Source organism: Homo sapiens, chromosome 12, assembly GCF_000001405.40.
Source record: "Homo sapiens chromosome 12, GRCh38.p14 Primary Assembly".
NCBI lineage: Eukaryota > Metazoa > Chordata > Mammalia > Primates > Hominidae > Homo > Homo sapiens.
In genome coordinates, this window is record NC_000012.12 from 116,366,777 (window position 1) to 116,384,336 (window position 17,560).

Consider the following 17,560-nt stretch of genomic DNA (forward strand, 5'->3'; position numbering starts at 1 on the left):
TTAAAGAGTTTTAATATAACCCCAGCCTGAGTTATAAACTATGTGTCTTAGCATTTATATGATCATGGGCAAACCACTTCACTTCTTAGTTTTAATGTACTCATCTATAAAATGGGAATATAATACATCCAGGGGTTACGAAGAAGGCAAAATCAGACCACGTCTGCAAAGGACTTAGCAGTGCACCTAGCTCCCTGACCGTGCTTGGTAGCTGGTAGGAACTATTATTTTGCTAGTGACGTCTTGGATCTCAAGTGTGGGCAGGTCAGAGCTCTTGCTTCCTGGGTTGACAGTGAAGGGTGAGGAACAGCCTTGACATTGAAAAACCGCAGGCTATTAGCTCTAAACTTCTGCCTGGTATAATGGAAGGAACATCGGTCTTGGATTTAGGTATTCTGGGGTCTGGTTCTAGCTTAGGTTGCTGATGTGGGACAGTCCCTTGGGAGCTGTGAGTGAGAGGATGTGGGACAAAGTCCCATGAGGTCAGGTAGGCTGTGCAAATGGAAGAAACTGAGCAACTGGGGACTCGGGATTCCGATACTAGGAGAAGGCAGAGGTAGTGGGCATGGGGCCTGGGGATGGGAAACATTCTCTTTTAGAGACAGTGTCTTGCTCTGTGGCCCAGGCTAGAGTGCAGTGGCACCATCACGGCTCACTGCAGCCTCAAGCTCCTAAGCTCAAGCGAAAGCCCAGCCAATTTTTTATTTTTTATTTTTTGTAGAGATGGGGTTTCACTATGTTGTTCAGGCTGGTCTTGAACTCCTGGGGTCAAGTGATCCTCCCACCTCAGCCTCCCAAAATACTGGGATTACAGGAGTGAGCCACTGAGCCCAGCCAAAGGGTCTTCTTTTTTTTTTTTTTGAGATGGAGTCTTGCTCTGTTGCCCAGGCAGGAGTGCAGTGGCGCAATCTTGGCTCACTGCAACCTCTGCTTCCCAGGCTCAAGCAATTATCCTGCCTCAGCCTCCCCAGTAGCTGGGACCACAGATGACTGTCACCACACCCAGCTAATTTTGTATTATTAGTAGAGATGGGGTTTCACCATGTTGGCCAGGCTGGTCTCAAACTCCTGACCTTGTAGTGATCCACCCACCTGAGCCTCCCAAAGTGCTGGGATTACAGGCATGAGCCACCGCACCCGGCCCCAAAGGATCCTCTCTTAAAGTAGGACGGTTCTGGCAGCCTGGGGTGGCTCCTGACAACTTTGTGAAGCGGAGGGAGATAGAAATAAACATCTATTAAGTTCCTACTATGAGCCAAACTCTATGTGTTATCTTAATTTTTATAAAGGAGTTCAAGGAAGATTTTTTTTTTTTTTTTGATACGGAGTCTTGCTCTGTCGCCAGGCTAGAGTATAGTGGCGTGATCTCGGCTCACTGCAACCTCCACCTCCTGGGTTCAAGCAGTTCTCCTGTCTCAGCCTCCCAAGTAGCTGGGACTACAGGTGCGTACCACCAAGCCCAGCTAATTTTTGTACTTTTAGTAGAGATGAGGTTTCACCATGTTGGCCAGGATGGTCTTGATCTCTTGACCTTGTGATCCACCCGCCTCGGCCTCCCAAAGTGCTGATTGTATCCCCATTTTATAGAGGAGGAGATTGAGGCCTGGAGACAGAAGTGATTTGGGCAAGGGCCGCATTGCTGGGAGGCAGCAGAGGAGCCAGAATTCAAACGCAAGCCTGACTGTCCATGGGAGTATCTTTTTAGTTTCTTGAAAAATACCAATGTTGGCCCCTCAGGGCTTCCTCCTGCCTCTGCTGTGCCTCTGCCTGACATTTCCTCTGCATCCTCCAAGTGCTTCCCAGGCTGGCTTCTTCTTGCCCTGCTGGTCTCTGTTTAAACATCGCCCTTTGAGGAGGCCTTTCCTGACCCCTCCTCCCCCCGCCGCATCTACCAGCGTAATTCTGGCTCTTTGAGTGGTTTACTGCGTCACAAGTCACAATCACTTATTAACTTTTTGTTTGCTTCTTTTATCTAGACGAGGGCTTTAATTTCAAGGAGCTCACATTCAAATGGAGCAGAAAGGCACTGAACCCAGAAACAAATAATTCTCTAGGATGGTGGTAAGTAGTAAGAAGAAAATAAAACAAGGCAACAGGAGAGAAAGTGATGGAGGGGAAGCAGAATGTAGACGGGCTGATCCAGGAAGGCTTCTCTAGGAGGTGATGTTTTTTGATGAGATCTGAGAGTTGAGGAGAAAGTTGTTTGAAAATCCAGGGAAATGGCAGGGCATGGTAGCTCACTCTGTAATCCCAGCACTTTGGGAGGCTGAGGCGGGCTGATCACTTGAGGTCAGGAGTTCAAGACCAGCCTGGCCAACATGGTGAAACACTATCTCTACTAAAAATACAAAAAATTAGGCCGGGCGCAGTGTCTCACGCCTGTAATCCCAGCACTTTGGGAGGCCAAGGCAGGCAGATCACGAGGTCAGGAGATCGAGACCATCCTGGCTAACACGGTGAAACCCTGTCTCTACTAAAAATACAAAAAAAATTAGCCAGGCGTGGTGGCGGGTGCCAGTAGTCCTAGCTACTCGGGAGGCTGAGGCAAGAGAATGGCGTGAACCCAGGAGGCGGAGCTTGCAGTGAGCTGAGATCGCGCCACTGCACTCCAGCCTGGGCGACAGAGCTAGACTCCGTCTCAAAAAAAAAAATTAGCCGGGCGTGGTGGTGGGCACCTGTAATCGCAACTACTTGGGAGGCAGAGGCAGGAAAATTGCTTGAACCTGGAAGGTAGAAGTTGCAGCAAGCCAAGCTTGCACCACTGCACTCCAGCCTGGACGACAGAGTGAAACTGTGTCAAAAAAAAAAAAAAAAAAAAAAAAGGCCGGGAGCGGTGGCTTATGCCTGTAACTCCAACATTTTGGGAGGTTGAGGCGAGTGGATCACCTGAGGTCAGGAGTTCGAGACCAGCCTGACCCATATGATAAAACCCCTTCTCTGCTAAAAATACAAAAATTAGCCGGGCATGGTGGCGGGCGCCTGTAACCCCAGCTACTCTGGAGGCTGAGACAGGAGAATCGCTTGAACCTGGGAGGCGGAGGTTGCAGTCAGCTGAGATCGCACCATTGTGCTCCAGCCTGTGCAACAAGAGCGAAACTGCATCTCAAAAAAAAAGAAAGAAAGAAAATCCAGAGAAAAGGTATTCCAGGCAGATGGAACAGCCTGTGGAAAGGCCCTGGGGTGCAAATGAGTTTTGTGTGTTCAAGAGACAGAAAGAAAGGCAAGTGGCTGGAGCTTGATGGCCTGGGGGAGGGTGGCAGGAGATGAGACAAGGCCAGAGGCCACGTCACATAAGGCCTTAGAGGCTGAGATAAGGAGTTGGTTCGTTGCTTATGGTTTGTCTCCTAATTAAACTGTGAGCTCCATGAGGGCAGGGACCTAGTCTGTCTTATTCACCACTGGGTTCCTAGACGCTAGCCCAGTGCTTGGCACATGGCAGGCACTCAACTGAGCCAATAAATTCATGTGTCAGCACACTGCCTTCTACAATCTTGCTACATTCCCCATGTGGTTTTTGAGCATTTCTCATGCCTGGCCTTCCTGTCTTCCCCTTGGCGTCTCATTCATTCCAAGCCCTAGTTCTGAGAATGCATCCTAACCCTGTGAGGTCATCAACTCACAAAAGCTCAAGGGTCTACTTCCAGGAAGAGCTGCATTTTTTTTTTTAATTTAAAAAAAAATTTTTTTTTTGAAACCGAGTCTCGCTCTGTCGCCCAGGCTGGAGTGCCGTGGCGCGATCTCAGCTCACTGCAACCTCCACCCTCCTGGGTTCAAGTGATTCTCCTGCCTCAGCCTCCCAAGTAGCTGGGACTACAGGCGTGCGCTGCTATTCCTGGCTAATTTTTTGTATTTTTAGTAGAGACAGGGTTTCACCATGTTAGTCAAGCCGGTCTTGTATTCCTGACCTCAAGTGATTCGCCTGCCTCTGCCTCCCAAAATGCTGAGATTATAGGAGTAAGCCACCGAGCCCGGCCAAGAGCTTCATTTGAAGAGCACATTTCACAGGGGTCCTAAAAACTTTATGGCATCAAATGGTGGAGTTCCAGGCCCACGTGTCTGTGCTCACATGCATGTATATGCTTCGAGGTCCTAGTGCCCCCTCAGATCCATGCAAGAAAGCTGCCCTGACCCACCAGCTGTTAGGAAACTCGGTCACATCGATAATTCCTATGACTTGTCCTGCCCGTGCCCGAGGGAGTGAGAAGTTAATTAGCTTTGCTGGAAAGGGCCTGTGAAATGTCGGGAACTCTGTGGTCTGAGAACCGTCTAAACTCACTGTACAATTCTGCATTCCAGCCCCAGCCCGGGCTCACTCCACCAGATCTCACGCCTGCTCACGGCGTTACGTGGTATTTACAAACAGTGGACACTAGTGGGTCAGTGGGGGACAGGAACGGGGACGCCCCCGTGCTGCATCTGAGTTGTCCTAGAGTTAATTTAATGATGAAACAATCACCAGACATTCTCCTTTCTCTGGGGAGTGCAAATGGCTTTATAAACACCAGGCCTACGGCTAGTGAGGGAGGCAGAGGTAAACGGTTTACCTTGGATGGGAAGTGAGTGTTCAGTCCATTAAGGGGAGTCCAAGAGCAGAAGTTAATTGTCCCTCCAGGCCTGGAAGTTAATTCGGCCTTGAAAATAGTTCTCAAAATCCATTTGCCGACCACTTCAGCCCACACTGATCGCGTCCCACCAACTGCACTTGAACACATGTCTACTGGCCATTTGCTTGGTCCGACTGACTCAGAGACACTGGCCCAGGAAGTCTATGACCTAGGACTTCTCCACTTCTCAAAGTGGAGAACACAGGTCTTTGTCTGCAGCACAGGACAGGCAATAGGGTGAGGCAAGGGAGGCGTTGTCTCAGTCCCCAAAAACAACTCTGTAATTCAGAGAAAATATTTAGTGCAATATTTTTTAAAAATTAAGATCAGTGAAAAAAAATCCATGATGGACAAAATAGCAAAATGTAAAATATAGACAAGATCTTATCCTCAGTTGTCCAACTTCGACCTTTACCCACAATGACCTGGACCCTCACTCTCGTGACATTGATTTTTACTCTTGAAACCCTGCCCATCACTGGCCTCACCATAGTCCCAGCCTTGATACGAAGTTATTTTAGGTGGTGGTCCACCTGCGGACATTTTTTTATTTTAATAGTTAAGTTTTTTAAAAAAAATATGGACAAGCGATTCCAGTAGGGAATTCATTGTTGGGATATAACATTTTTCTTTTAAAAAATTAATTTCAGGGTGGGGGTGGTGGCTCATGCCTGTAATTCCATGCTTTGGGAGGTAGAGACAGGAGAATTGCTTGAGGCCAAGAGTTTGAAACCAGTCTGGGCAACACAGCAAGACTCCATCTCTACAAAAACTAAAAAATTAGCCAGGCCTGTTGGTGCACACCTGTAGTCCCAGCTACAGAGGCCGATGTGGGAAGATTGCTTCAGACTAGGAGTTCAAGGCTGAAGTGAGCTGTGATCATGCCACTGCACTCCTGCCTGGGTGACAAGAGTGAGACTCCATCTCAAAAAAATAAAATAAAAATTATATTTTATGACTGCATGGTTATAAAGATGCATATAAGCCAGACTCAATTATATCCACCTTTACATCAATGCCATCAAGGTATGCACCTTGCTTATTTTGAGCAGCAAAATATTTTCAGGGCCTCCAGCAAAGCTCATGTCCACAGGCAGTGTGGCTACTATGCCGAATGGAGAGGCTGGCCCTGCTGCACAAGGGACAGGCATTTATGTGTGTATGTATGTATGTATGTATGTATTTTGTGACGGAGTCTTGCTCTGTTGCCCAGGCTGGAGTGCAGTGGCACAATCTCGGCTCACTGCAACCTCTGCCTCCTGGGTTCAAGCGATTTTCCTGCCTCAGCCTCCTAAGTAGCTAGGACTACAGGCGCCCACCACCACAACTGGCTAATTTTTGTATTTTTAGTAGAGACGGGGTTTCACCATTGGCCAGGCTGGTTTCGCACTCCCGACCTTGTGATCCGCCTGCCTCGGCCTCCCAAAGTGCTGGGATTACAGGTGTGAGCCAGCCGGGGCAGGCACTTATATGCATAATCCTTTAATTTTCACAATGCCTCAGGCAGGCACCATTAACTCATATTATAAATGACAAAAAGGAGGCCCAGAGACCTTCAGCAAGTTGCCAAAGGTCACACAGCCAGTGAATAGCAAGGCAGATATTTGAACCCAGGTCTGATTCTGGAGTCTGCCCTTTCCGGGCCCCCACTCTCCCGCAGCAGCCCAGGAAGTGAGATAATCTGAAGAGTTGCCAACCCCTGAGTGATCCATCATGTCCCTTGGTAATGGAAATTGTGATTACGCTCAGGGCTGGTTCCCACGAGGCCCATAAGATGTCAGCGGTCTGCAGGAAGACCCCAGTATTCTGACCTTGTGGTCACCTGGGCTTGTGGGGGCTTCACCACACACTGAGGCTGGTTTCTAAAGAGTCTCTAGGTGTTTCAGCTGCCGCCCTCAGACGGCGAGATGTCCTCAGAGCCTCTGAGACACCGGGCACCGTCCTCCAAGTCTCAGACTCCAACAGAGCAGGTTGATGTTTGTTTCATGATTCTGTGTTCTTGAAAAGGACAAAGCAAAAAAGAGAGATAAAAAACTTTGGACGCAGACCAAAGCCGCTCAGGTTTTTAGCTCTGTGTCCCCTTGCAGGCTCCTCCGTGAGACAGGCCTGACAAGTGTCACCTGAACAAGGGGTCAAAGCCATTCCATTCCATGCATGCGGCACTGCAATTTTAAACAACTGTGGCTTGAGACAAAGATCCTCCCGAGAAAGCAAAATCCAACAGAGTTTGCAGTTTCCAGCTTCCGTGCTTCCTGAATTATACATGGGCAAAACCCCCTTGAAGGCTGCTTTTTAAGCCGTGAGGGGAAGGCGTGTAATTTTGGTCTCTAGCATTCTGCTGAAACACTTGCTGAGGACAAGGCCCCTTCCTCGCCAAGTGGCGTTTGCCTCCAAACCAAACAGGGGACTTTGACGCCTCAAATAGCTTCAAGCTGCCAGCAGAAAGGAGGCAAAGGGGACTGGCACTTCCTCTCTTTGCCAGTCTTGAATCCTGAGGGTTCAGAGAGACTGGGAAACTGGGTTCCTGTCCCTGCAGTGGCAGCTGTGACACAGGCCAGGGTGACATTCTTCCCCTTCCTGGCTGGAAAGAGGGAAAGTGCTGTAAACCTCTGGAAAGGGACAGGAGGCCAGGAGAAGCGGACTGAGCCAGGGCAGGCGAGGCACAGTAGGGTCCAGCTAGGGTGTAGGCAGCCCGGCCACCCTCTCCGAAAGACAACTGCTCCAGGTCCAGACTGCCCAGCAGTGGGACGCCAGGCACAACAGGGACAGTGACACTTCCCACTTCTATAATGGAGCAACTGGTCTTCAGGGCTCTGTAGCTGCAAAATGCTACCCACTGGGAGGGAGTTCTTGAGACTGTCTTCTCTCCCTGAGGTTTGCCTAAGGTTAGTGGGTGATGGCATTCAGAGGACCTGAGTTGGCTGGGGTCATTTGGCTCGGTGGTGGCTAAGGATGCGGACCCTGGTGACAGTCATGGCTGCTTTGTAACTTATTAGCCATGTGACTCTGAGACAGTTATTGTACCTCTTAGATCCTCGGTTTCCCCCTCTGTAGAATGGGCTGATTGCCCCCATTGAAATATCACAGAGTTTCTTGCACAGATAAAATCAATGCAGGCTGAGTGCCTGTAGCTCAGTAACTGAGCAGATTTTAAGCACTCAAAAAATGAGAGTCAATGGGAGCAGTGGCTCACACCTATAATCCCAGCACTTTGGGAGGCTGAGGAGAGAGGATTGCTTGAGCCCAGGAGTTCAAGACCAACTTGGGTAACATAGTGAGACCCCCATCTCTACAAAACACACACACATACACACACACACACACACACACACACACAGCTGGTCATGGTGGCATGTGCCCGTAGTCCCAGCTACTTGGGAGGCTGAGGTGGGAGAATCGCTTGAACCTGGGAGTTCCAGGCTGCAGTGAGCCGTGATTGTGCCACTGCACTCCAGCCTGGGTGACAGAGCCAGACCCTAACTCTAAAAAGCAAAACAAAATAAAAACAAAAACAAAAACAAAACAACAAAAAAGGAAGCTATCTTCATTATTTGGATCCTGTAGAGAAACAAATGCATAGAGCAGGTGTGTGTGCGTGTGTATGTGTTTGTGTGTGTATGTGTGTGTAAGAATGTCTTTGTGCACGTGTGAGTATGCATGTGTGCGTGCATGTATGCGTGCATGTGAGTATGCATATGTGTGCATGTGTGTGAGTATTCATGTGTGTACGAGTATTCATGTGTGTGTGCATGCGTGAGTATTCACGTATGTGTGAATATGCATGTGTGTATGTGTGTGAGTTGCATGCATGGGCATGTGTGTGAGTATGCATGTGTGTATTTGTGTGAGTATGCGTGCGTGTGTGAGTACGCATGTATGTGTGAGTATGCGTATGAGTATACATGTGTGTGAGTATGCATGCGTGTGTGTGAATATGCATGTGTGTATGTGTGTGAGTATGCATGCGTGTGTGCATGTGAGTATGCATGTATGTGTGGGAGTATGCATGTGGGAGTATGCATGTATGTGTGAGTATGCATATGTGTGTGTGCATGTGTGTGGGTATGCATGTGTGTGCATGTGAGTATGCGTGTGTGCATGTGTGTGAGTATGCATGTATGTGTGAGTATGCATGTGTGTGCGCGTGTGTGAGTGTGCATTGTGTGAGTATGCACATGTATGTATGTGTGTGGGTATGCATGTGTGAGTGTGTGAGTATGCATGTGTGTGCATGTGTGTGAGTATGCGTGTGTGTGCATATGCATGTGTGTATGTGTGTGAGTATGTGTGTGTGCGTGTATGTATGTATGTGTGAGTATGCATGTGTGTTTCCATGTGTGTATGTGTGTGTGCAGGCATATAAGTATGCGTGTGTGTATGCATGTGTGTGTGCATATGTGTGAGTATGCATATGTGTGTGAGTATGCATGGGTGTGTGCATGTGCATGAGTATGCGTGTGTGCATGTGTGTGAGTATGCATGTGTGTATGTGTGAGTATGCATGTGAGTATGCATGTGTGCATGCATGTGTGTGAGTATGCGTGTGTACGTGTGTGAGTATGCATGTGTGTATGTGTGTGAGTATGCATGTATGTGTATGCATGTGTGTGCATGTGTGTGAGTATGCATGTGTGTGTGTATGCCTGTGTGTATGTGTGTGAGTATGCATGTATGTGTATGAATGTGTGTGCGTGTGTGTGAGTATGCATTGTGTGTGTATGCGTGTGTGTATGTGTGTGAGTATGCGTGTGTGTATGTGTGTGAGTATGCGTGTGTGTATGTGTGTGAGTATGCAGTGTGTGGGTGCATGTGTGCACACTCAAACCAAAAGGTCAGGGGAAAAGCATTCTCCCCACTAGAAGCTGGAACCTGAGGAGGGCAAATGCTTCATTATTTAGATTCGAAAGCTACTCATTAGGCAAGACTAGAGCACTTAGGAAGAAAAGCTGACCTACCAGTGTAAAATGTTATTATAAGTAATGACAATGATTATAGGATGAGGGTGTGAGCTGAAAGAGGGAAAGCTGGAGAGGTTAATGTCCATTAACTACCGAGAATTAGGATATTGGCTTCTGCAGACACCTCTGGCTAAGCCCAACGGTCTGTTTATTTACCTCGTAGGAAGCTCTTAGCACATCAAAAAGGTATTTCAAACACAACCCTCACCCCCAACAATTAGCTTTGGGAAGAAGAGTAAATATGGATGCAATTTATCACTCTGAGGGCCCTACTATCGGAGACAGGTGCCTGTCAGTGAAATAAAACAGACCCCAAGCCCCGCCAGGAAGATCAACCCAGAAGCAATTTGCTAATTTGCTGATCATGGGTGGACAGTCGTTGCTCAAGGGCTTTGGTGACACACAAACAATTCATATCTTTCTGCTAATTCTCATAATCTGAGTCAAATGTTTCCTTTTGGAACCAGTGGGGGAAATAATGACTCAGGAGTGGGTTGAGTCAATTTCACTAGCTTTGCTTTGTCCCCCTTTAACTTAGAAATGTAATTAGAAAGAAATGGAATACTGTTGGCAAAGAGCCATGGGAGAGGGACGTGATTGGAGGGGACCATCCATCCCAGTTGGCCCTGGACCGAGGGGTTTTCTGCAATGTAGGACTCTCTGTGCTAGGTCTGGGACAGTCCTGGGCGAGTGGGGACGGTTGGTCAGTCACCCTACCTATTCCCCCTTTCCCATGGCCCCATGCAGGTGTTGGGCAATCCCAGCCGGGAGTAACAGTGGGTAAAAGTTGGCTTGTAGTTGCCTTTAAGAAATTCTGGGCTGGGCACAGTGGCTCATGCCTGTAACCTCAGCACTTTGGGAGGCCAAGGTGGGAAGATCGCTTGAGGCCAGGAGTTTGAGACCAGCCTGGCCAACATGGTGAAACCCCATCTTTACTAAAAATAAAAAAATTAGCTGGGCGTGGTGGTGCATGCCTGTAGTCCCCTACTCGAGAGTTGAGGTTAGGAGGATTGCTTCTGCCCAGGAGGTCACAGCAGTGAGCTGTGATCATGCCACAGCACTCCAGCCTGGGCAACGGAGCAAGACCCTGTCTCAAAAGAAAAAAAGAAATTCTACCTCCTCCCATATGGCAAAACAGACTGTGAACCCATTAGCAACAGGAATGTGATGTCGCGTGGGGCCTGAGTGGGAGTAGCAGACACCAAGGGAACAAGTCCAGAGAGACTTCTGATAGGCGAGTGCGCGAGGGTCCGAGAGCTGATCTTATACTGATGACTTTACCTTCCCAGGGAACTCTTGATGGGAAACGGCAGGACCCTGTGACATTCTGCAGATTCTGAAATTTCTGTCCCCTCCTCCATCTATATCTGAGCGTGTTACAGAAACCAGGGCAATAATGCACACTTTATTCGCGAGATGCACATAATTCTACCATTTCAGCTGGTTCCACTGCTTCTGAGATTTTGTATATAAATATCTATGCGTGTGCGTTTGTGTGTACATTTCTTGACATATTTACGAAGCCCCAGTTTGCCAACCTTCAGGGCATAATGCAAGAACTATTTTTCATCCTAATCTGCTGTAATGACATGTTTTATTATACTATTTCAGCTGTTTCCATTGCTTTCGCTGTTTCATGTTTTATGTATTTTAACTAATGCTTTAATTTTAGTACGTTGTGCCCTAAGGTGACTTCACAAGGCTTACTTTGGAAGATCGACGGGGATTCACAGCAATGGCAATTGAAGGCTCTACCCACACCCAGCACGACGCAGATGTGGAGATGGGAACGGAGGGCAGGGTGGGAAGGCTGGCAGCTTAGGACCTGGCGTTTGTAACACCGAGATGTACAGTCACCCTAGGTTTGCTCAGGGCTTTAGCCCAGTTTTAGCCCTGAAAGCCCAGCGTCTCAGAACCTGCTCAGCTGTGGACAGACCAGGGTGGTTGGTCACCCTACCAAGATGACGGGCTTGATTTCGATATTTGGTTAGGCTGCTTCTTAGGAGGTAGGAGGTGTCTGTCTCAGTGTACCAAAGAAAGGGCCTGAGGTTTGGAGTCCCCTCCTCTTAGTTTCAAGCCCAAGCTCTGCCGACACTGTAATAGTCATTTGAATCTGATGAAGTCACTTTAAGCCTCCGTTTCTACATCTGGAAAATGGGGCTGGGAAAGCATCTCCTGGAGACCTGCTGTCAGGGATAGAGGGAGCGGTCCATGTTCTCTGCCTGGCACTTAGGGAGTGGTTGAGGTGGCGGTGCTTCACTAACCAGCTGTGGGGTCTTGGCCTGATCATTCCTCTTCTCAGGGGTTCCCATTCCCTTTTCTCCTACCTAATAATGGAGGAGTCAGACAGGATCCTTTTATTTTTTTAGAGATAGGGTCTCGCTCTGTCGCCCAGGCTAGAGTGCAGTGATGCAATCATAGCTCACTGCAGCTTCGAACTCCTGGGTTGAAGGATCAGCTAATTAAAAAAAATATTTTTTGAGACAGACAGGGTCTCACTCTGTTGCCTAGGCTGGTTGTGAACTCCTGGTCTCAAGAGATCCTCTTTCCTCAGCCTCTCAAAATGCTGGGATTACAGGCAGGAGTCACTGTGCCCGACCCCCAGACCGGATACTTTTGAAGTGCTCAAAGTCCACATCCTGAGGCAAAGTGAAGGGCAGAGGCCACCACCTAGACCTTCCAGACTTAAGCATCAAGGAGTCCCCTTAGCCTGTTTACACCCTTCGGCAATGGGGGCAGAGGAGCACAAGAGGAAAAATAGTAATAATAATAGTGGTCGTAATAATAATAGCTTCTGTTTCCAGAGAGCTTATTGCGTGCCAGGCAAGCCCTGTGTTAAGCATTACTCTTTACCTTCCCATTTGATCCCTTCCACAGGACACATGGGAATAAGTGAGAGGATAACACCCATTTTGCAGAGGAGGAGATGGATATTCAGAGAGGTGAATATATATATTTTTTGACATGGTGTCTTGCTCTGTTGCCCAGGGTGTAGTGCAGTGGCACAGTCTTAGCTCACTGCAACCTCTGCCTCCTGGGTTCAAGTCATTCTCCTGCCTCAGCCTCTCAAGTAGCTGGGATTACAGGCACCTGTCACATCCCCGGGTAACTTTTGTATTTTAGTAGAGACAGGGTTTCGCCATGTTGGCCAGGCTGGTCTCGAACTCCTGACCTCAAGAGATCTGCCCGCCTCAGCCTCCCAAAATGTTGGGATTACAGGCGTGAGCCACCACGCCTGGACTGAAGACGTTTCTTGAAGACCACATAACAAGAAAGTGGTCAAGCAGGCATGTGACATTCGTGACTCCAACGTTCACCACGATATCCTGCAGCCATCTTGTCTGGAACATCCCTGTCTGTTCCCAGCCCATGGTAGTAAATGGGGCGGCACTCAGTCTTTCATACCTGCTTGTCTCCTTCCTCATTTTCCCTCCAACACACCAGACTCTGGGTCCTCCTGCCTCTTTTGGGTCTTAAGCAGAAATGTCATTTCTTTCTTCCTTTTTTTTTTTTTCCTTTTGTGAGATGGAGTTTCACTCTTGTTGCCCAGGCTGGAGTGCAATAGTGTGATCTTGGCTCATCGCAACCTCCGCCTACCGGGTTCAAGCTGTTCTCCTGCCTCAGCCACCTGAGTAGCTGGGATTACAGGCATGTGCCACCACGCTCGTCTAATTGTGTATTTTTAGTAGAGATGGGGGTTTTCCATGTTGGTCAGTCTGATCTTGAACTCCTAACCTCAGGTGATCCACCCACCTTGGCCTCCCAAAGTGCTGGGATTACAGGCGTAAGCCACCGTGCCTGGCCCATTTCTTTCTTTTTAATCCCCATGCCCTCTCTTTGAAAACCTCCTCTTCACACTGCAAAGTCCAGCTCCTCTGTGTCCAAGACGATATCCTCTTAGACTCCTACTAGTGGCTTATTTGCTGATTCAGCATTGGGTCTTCCCTGTCCCTGACATAACATGACGGGAAGTCAGTGGAAAGTTTTTTGGTCAGAAAAGCCCCAGCTGTCTCACTCATGTGCCCTGGATGGCCATTGGCCATCCTGTTTCAGATCCTGGAGATGTGCTACCACACACCACTGTGTTTCATTCTCACTGGACACCAGGAGGCAGGCACTGGGAAGAAGACACCATCATTCCTACTTCTAGAACTGGCTAAGAAAATTGCACTTTTTTTCTGTCCAGGCGTGGCGACTCACACCTTTAATCCCAGCACTTTGGGAGGCCAAAATGGGTGGATCTCTTGAGATTAGGAGTTCAAGACCAGCCTGGCCAACATGGTGATACCCCGTCTCTACTAATAATATAAAAAGTAGCCGGGCATGGTGGCAGGCGCCCGTAGTCCCAGCTACTCGGGAGGCTGAGGCATGAGAATCATTAGAACCCAAGAGGCAGAGGTTGCAGTGAACCAAGATCATGCCACTGCATTCCAGCCTGGGTGACAGAGTGAAACTGTCAAAAAGAAAGAAAGAGAGAGAGAGAGAGACAGAGAGAGAGAGAGAGAAAGAGAGAAAGAGAGAAAGAAAGAAAGAAGAAAGAAAGAAAAGAAAAGAAAAGAAAAGAAAAGAAAAGAAAAGAAAAGAAAAGAAAAGAAAAGAAAGAAAGGAAAAAGAAAATTACAGCCCATGGGCTGGCTGTTTTTGTCAATAAAGTTTTATTGGAAACAGCCATGTGCATTCATTTATGGTAATCCATGGCTATTTCCACACTACAGCAAGAAAGTTGAATAGTTGCCACAGAGACTGTAATGCCTCGCAAAGATATTTACTATTTGGCCCTTTGCAGAAAAAGTGTACCAACCCCTGTAAATCAAGACGAAGAGCGGAGGTTCAGAGGAGCTTCAGCAACCTGCCCTAGTTTTCTCAGTGAGCCAAGGAAGGCCTGGGGCTCAAATCTGAAACCCCAGATCTTAGGGCAGGTTTCTACGCCCTGGACTCCATCCTTGCTTTCTCCCAGGGCTCCCTTTCTACGCCCCAAACTCCATCCTTGCTTTCTCCCAGGGCTGCCTTCCACGGAGGTTCCCGGTGCTCTGCATTACACCCCACAGGTGGCTCTTGCCTGGCTTTGGGGGGCTCAGGGCAGCAGCCAGCTGGAGACTTCAAGTACAGGCACTTAAGGCACGGTGGGACCAGAGAAAAGAAAGTTGGCTGGAGAAGTTTTGTTTATTTGTTTGTTTTCATTTTTTGAAGGCTGGAAGTGCATTTGCTAAAGAACCTCACTTCTACCGATCTCATTTTCCACGCACTTACAAACGGACCAGAGGTTGCAAAAGTGAGTCTCTCCTCGCTTCTACCGATCTCATTTTCCACGCACTTACAAACGGACCAGTGGTTGCAAAAGTGAGTCTCTCCTCGCTGAACTGCTCTGTTGTTTCCAGTTTCTGAGGGGCCATCTCGGGCAAGGCTTGGATGGGGCAGGGCCTTCTCTAGGTCTTGGGACCGCCCCTCATTGCAGGAGACAAAACTTCCCACATCCCACATCCAGGCTTCTCTGATGTCCCCTCCCCCGCACCCAACCCGCACCCATCTTCCCTGTTTCAACCCTCCAACTCCCCTCTCCCCAGCATCTCCAGGGGTCTGCGTTCTCCTTCCCAGCCCTGGGAGCTTTATTTCAAGCTGAGATACAATGACACATCATGTTCCTTTTCTCTTTCCTTCTTCTTTTTAATAAAGCTGTTTTGTGTCTCCACACCACCCCCCTTCTGCATTCCTTGCATCTTAGTCTTCCCGTCCCCCTCCTGTAGGAAATGTCTAGGATTCTCTCACTGGGGTGTAATGGTTAAATTGCTACCAGCTGATTAAACAGCAGCAGTCGAAGCTGTAATCCTCAGCGTTCAGGAACCTGGGAAGGCAGGGACGAGTGCCCTGACCGCTTAGCCCCTGCTGACCCCCCTGCCAGGCGCCCGCCCAGTTTCACCCCTTTCATTTGTCCCGGGTTGCTTAATAGAATCTGCTGGGAAGGGGCGAGGGGCTGAGAAGGAAGAGGAAGGAGGAGGGAAGAGGGAACAGGCAAGAGGGGAGGAGGAGAGGGTCCCTCCACCAGCTCTGGTTCAACCTCCAAGGAATGTTGCTCCCACCCCTGTCCCTTTCCTGCCCCCCTGTAAAACCACACACACACACACACACACACTCTCACACACGCACATACTCACATTAGCGTACACACTCACATGTTCACACACTTACAGATACTTGCATATACTCACAGCCACACACACACACCCACATGCTCCCTTGTTCATACACACAGCCACGCACACACTTTCTCAAACTCATACATACAGACACACATACACACTCATGCTCACACACAGTCACATATGCATAAACGCATGATCACACACACACAGCCACACACATTCACACACTTTGATACCCCCCAGAGCCAGTCTCTTTCTCATTCTCTGCAGAATGAAGACCACATGAAGGAGAAATCCCACCTGCCCTGCTGCTCCTCCTGGGAAAGCTTCCTCCCCGCACCTGCCCCCCATATAGGGAAGGGTCAGAAAGATGGGAACTGTGAGATCAGAGACCGGTCTGGGAAGCGGGAAAGTGCAGGCTTTGGGTGCAGGCAGCCAGCTGCAGGATCCTGGAGTCAGGACTTCCTTTCTTCCTGCCTCTCTGAGGATCGAGTGGGAAAAACACCCAGCCCAGTCAGGCAGGCACAAAACATGTGTTACCTCGATGATCTGTGCTGGGTGCTGGGGTGCAGTGCAGCTGGCATAGCCTTCTGCACCCTTGAAAGCAACGTGTCCCTTGGGCTCCTTGATGGACACTTCCCACCCTTGGCTCTTCACCTGCAAACTGACCTGTGACCATCATATGAGACCCTGGGTGTGCAAAGGTGTGGCCACAACTTAGCACATGCCAGGGTCCCACGACGATGGTTTTCCTGTATGATTAACGTTGCTGTCGATTCAGGCTCTGGACTAAGAATAGCAGGGGGCAGCCAGCCTCCTTGGGAAAGTTTATTTCCGTGGAAAGTATAGTTCAGATGAGTGAGGATCTGGCCTCGATTCATCCTCCCTCCCTCACACTTAGTCAGAAACCAGGGAAGGGCCTACTGGATGGAGGGGGAATTGGCTCACAAGCACTGGAAGTTTGCCACTGCTCCAAGTACGCTGCTCTCTGAAGCAACCTTTCTCTTTCCCCTGGGAGAAAAAAGCCTCCAAGCAGGGTGTAGGAGAGGGCAGAGGGAATGGCTGCCGAGGGCCCTAGGCCAGCCTTATTTCTGTGCAGCGGGTTGAATGGTGTCTCCCATTCATGTCCACCTGGAAACTCAGAATGTGACCTTTTTTGGAAACAGGGTCTTTGCAAATATCATTCAGGTAAGAATGAAGATGACATCATACTGGGTTAAGGTGAGCCTTTTTCTTTTCTTTTCTTTTCTTTTCTTTCTTCTTTCTTTCTTTTTTTTTTTTTTTGAAACAGAGTCTCACTCTGTCACCCAGGCTGGAGTGCAGTGGCGTGATCTCGACTCACTGCAACCTCCGTTTACCAGGTTCAAGTGATTCTCCTGCCTTAGCCTCCAGAGTAGCTGGGATTACAGGTGCCCACCACCACGCCCAGCTAATTTTTGTATTTTTAGTAGAGATGGGGTTTCACCATGTTGGCCAGGCTGGTCTTGAACTCCTGGCCTCAAGCGATCCTCTGGCCTCAGCCTCCCAAAATGCTGGGATTACAGGAATGAGCCACCATGCCCAGACCAAGGCGAGCCTTAAATCCAGTGTGAGTGTCCTAAAGAAAGCTAGAGAAGGACCTAGAGACTGTGAGGATAGAGGTCGACATTGGAGTGATGCAGCCGCGAGCTAAGGAACTCCAGGAGCCACCAGAAGCTGGAAGGATACTGGAAGTGACATTTTGATTTTGGACTTCTGGCCTCCAGAACTGGGAGAGTAACACATTTCTGTTGTTTTCAGCCATGCAGTGTGCGGTAATTTGTTACAGTAGCCACAAGAAACTAATATGCTTTGCAAAGCATGTGTCAATGATCCCATT

General features: G+C 48.8%; 2 annotated features.

Annotated features, from left to right (window-relative positions):
- Positions 2,140–2,641: an enhancer, noted in NCBI's record as "H3K27ac hESC enhancer chr12:116806721-116807222 (GRCh37/hg19 assembly coordinates)". NCBI's record gives its function as "activates a minimal SCP1, AML or CMV promoter by ChIP-STARR-seq in primed H9 embryonic stem cells {active_cell/tissue: H9 hESC(primed)}" and the evidence as "EXISTENCE:reporter gene assay evidence [ECO:0000049][PMID:30033119]".
- Positions 16,133–16,809: an enhancer, noted in NCBI's record as "H3K27ac-H3K4me1 hESC enhancer chr12:116820714-116821390 (GRCh37/hg19 assembly coordinates)". NCBI's record gives its function as "activates a minimal SCP1, AML or CMV promoter by ChIP-STARR-seq in naive H9 embryonic stem cells {active_cell/tissue: H9 hESC(naive)}" and the evidence as "EXISTENCE:reporter gene assay evidence [ECO:0000049][PMID:30033119]".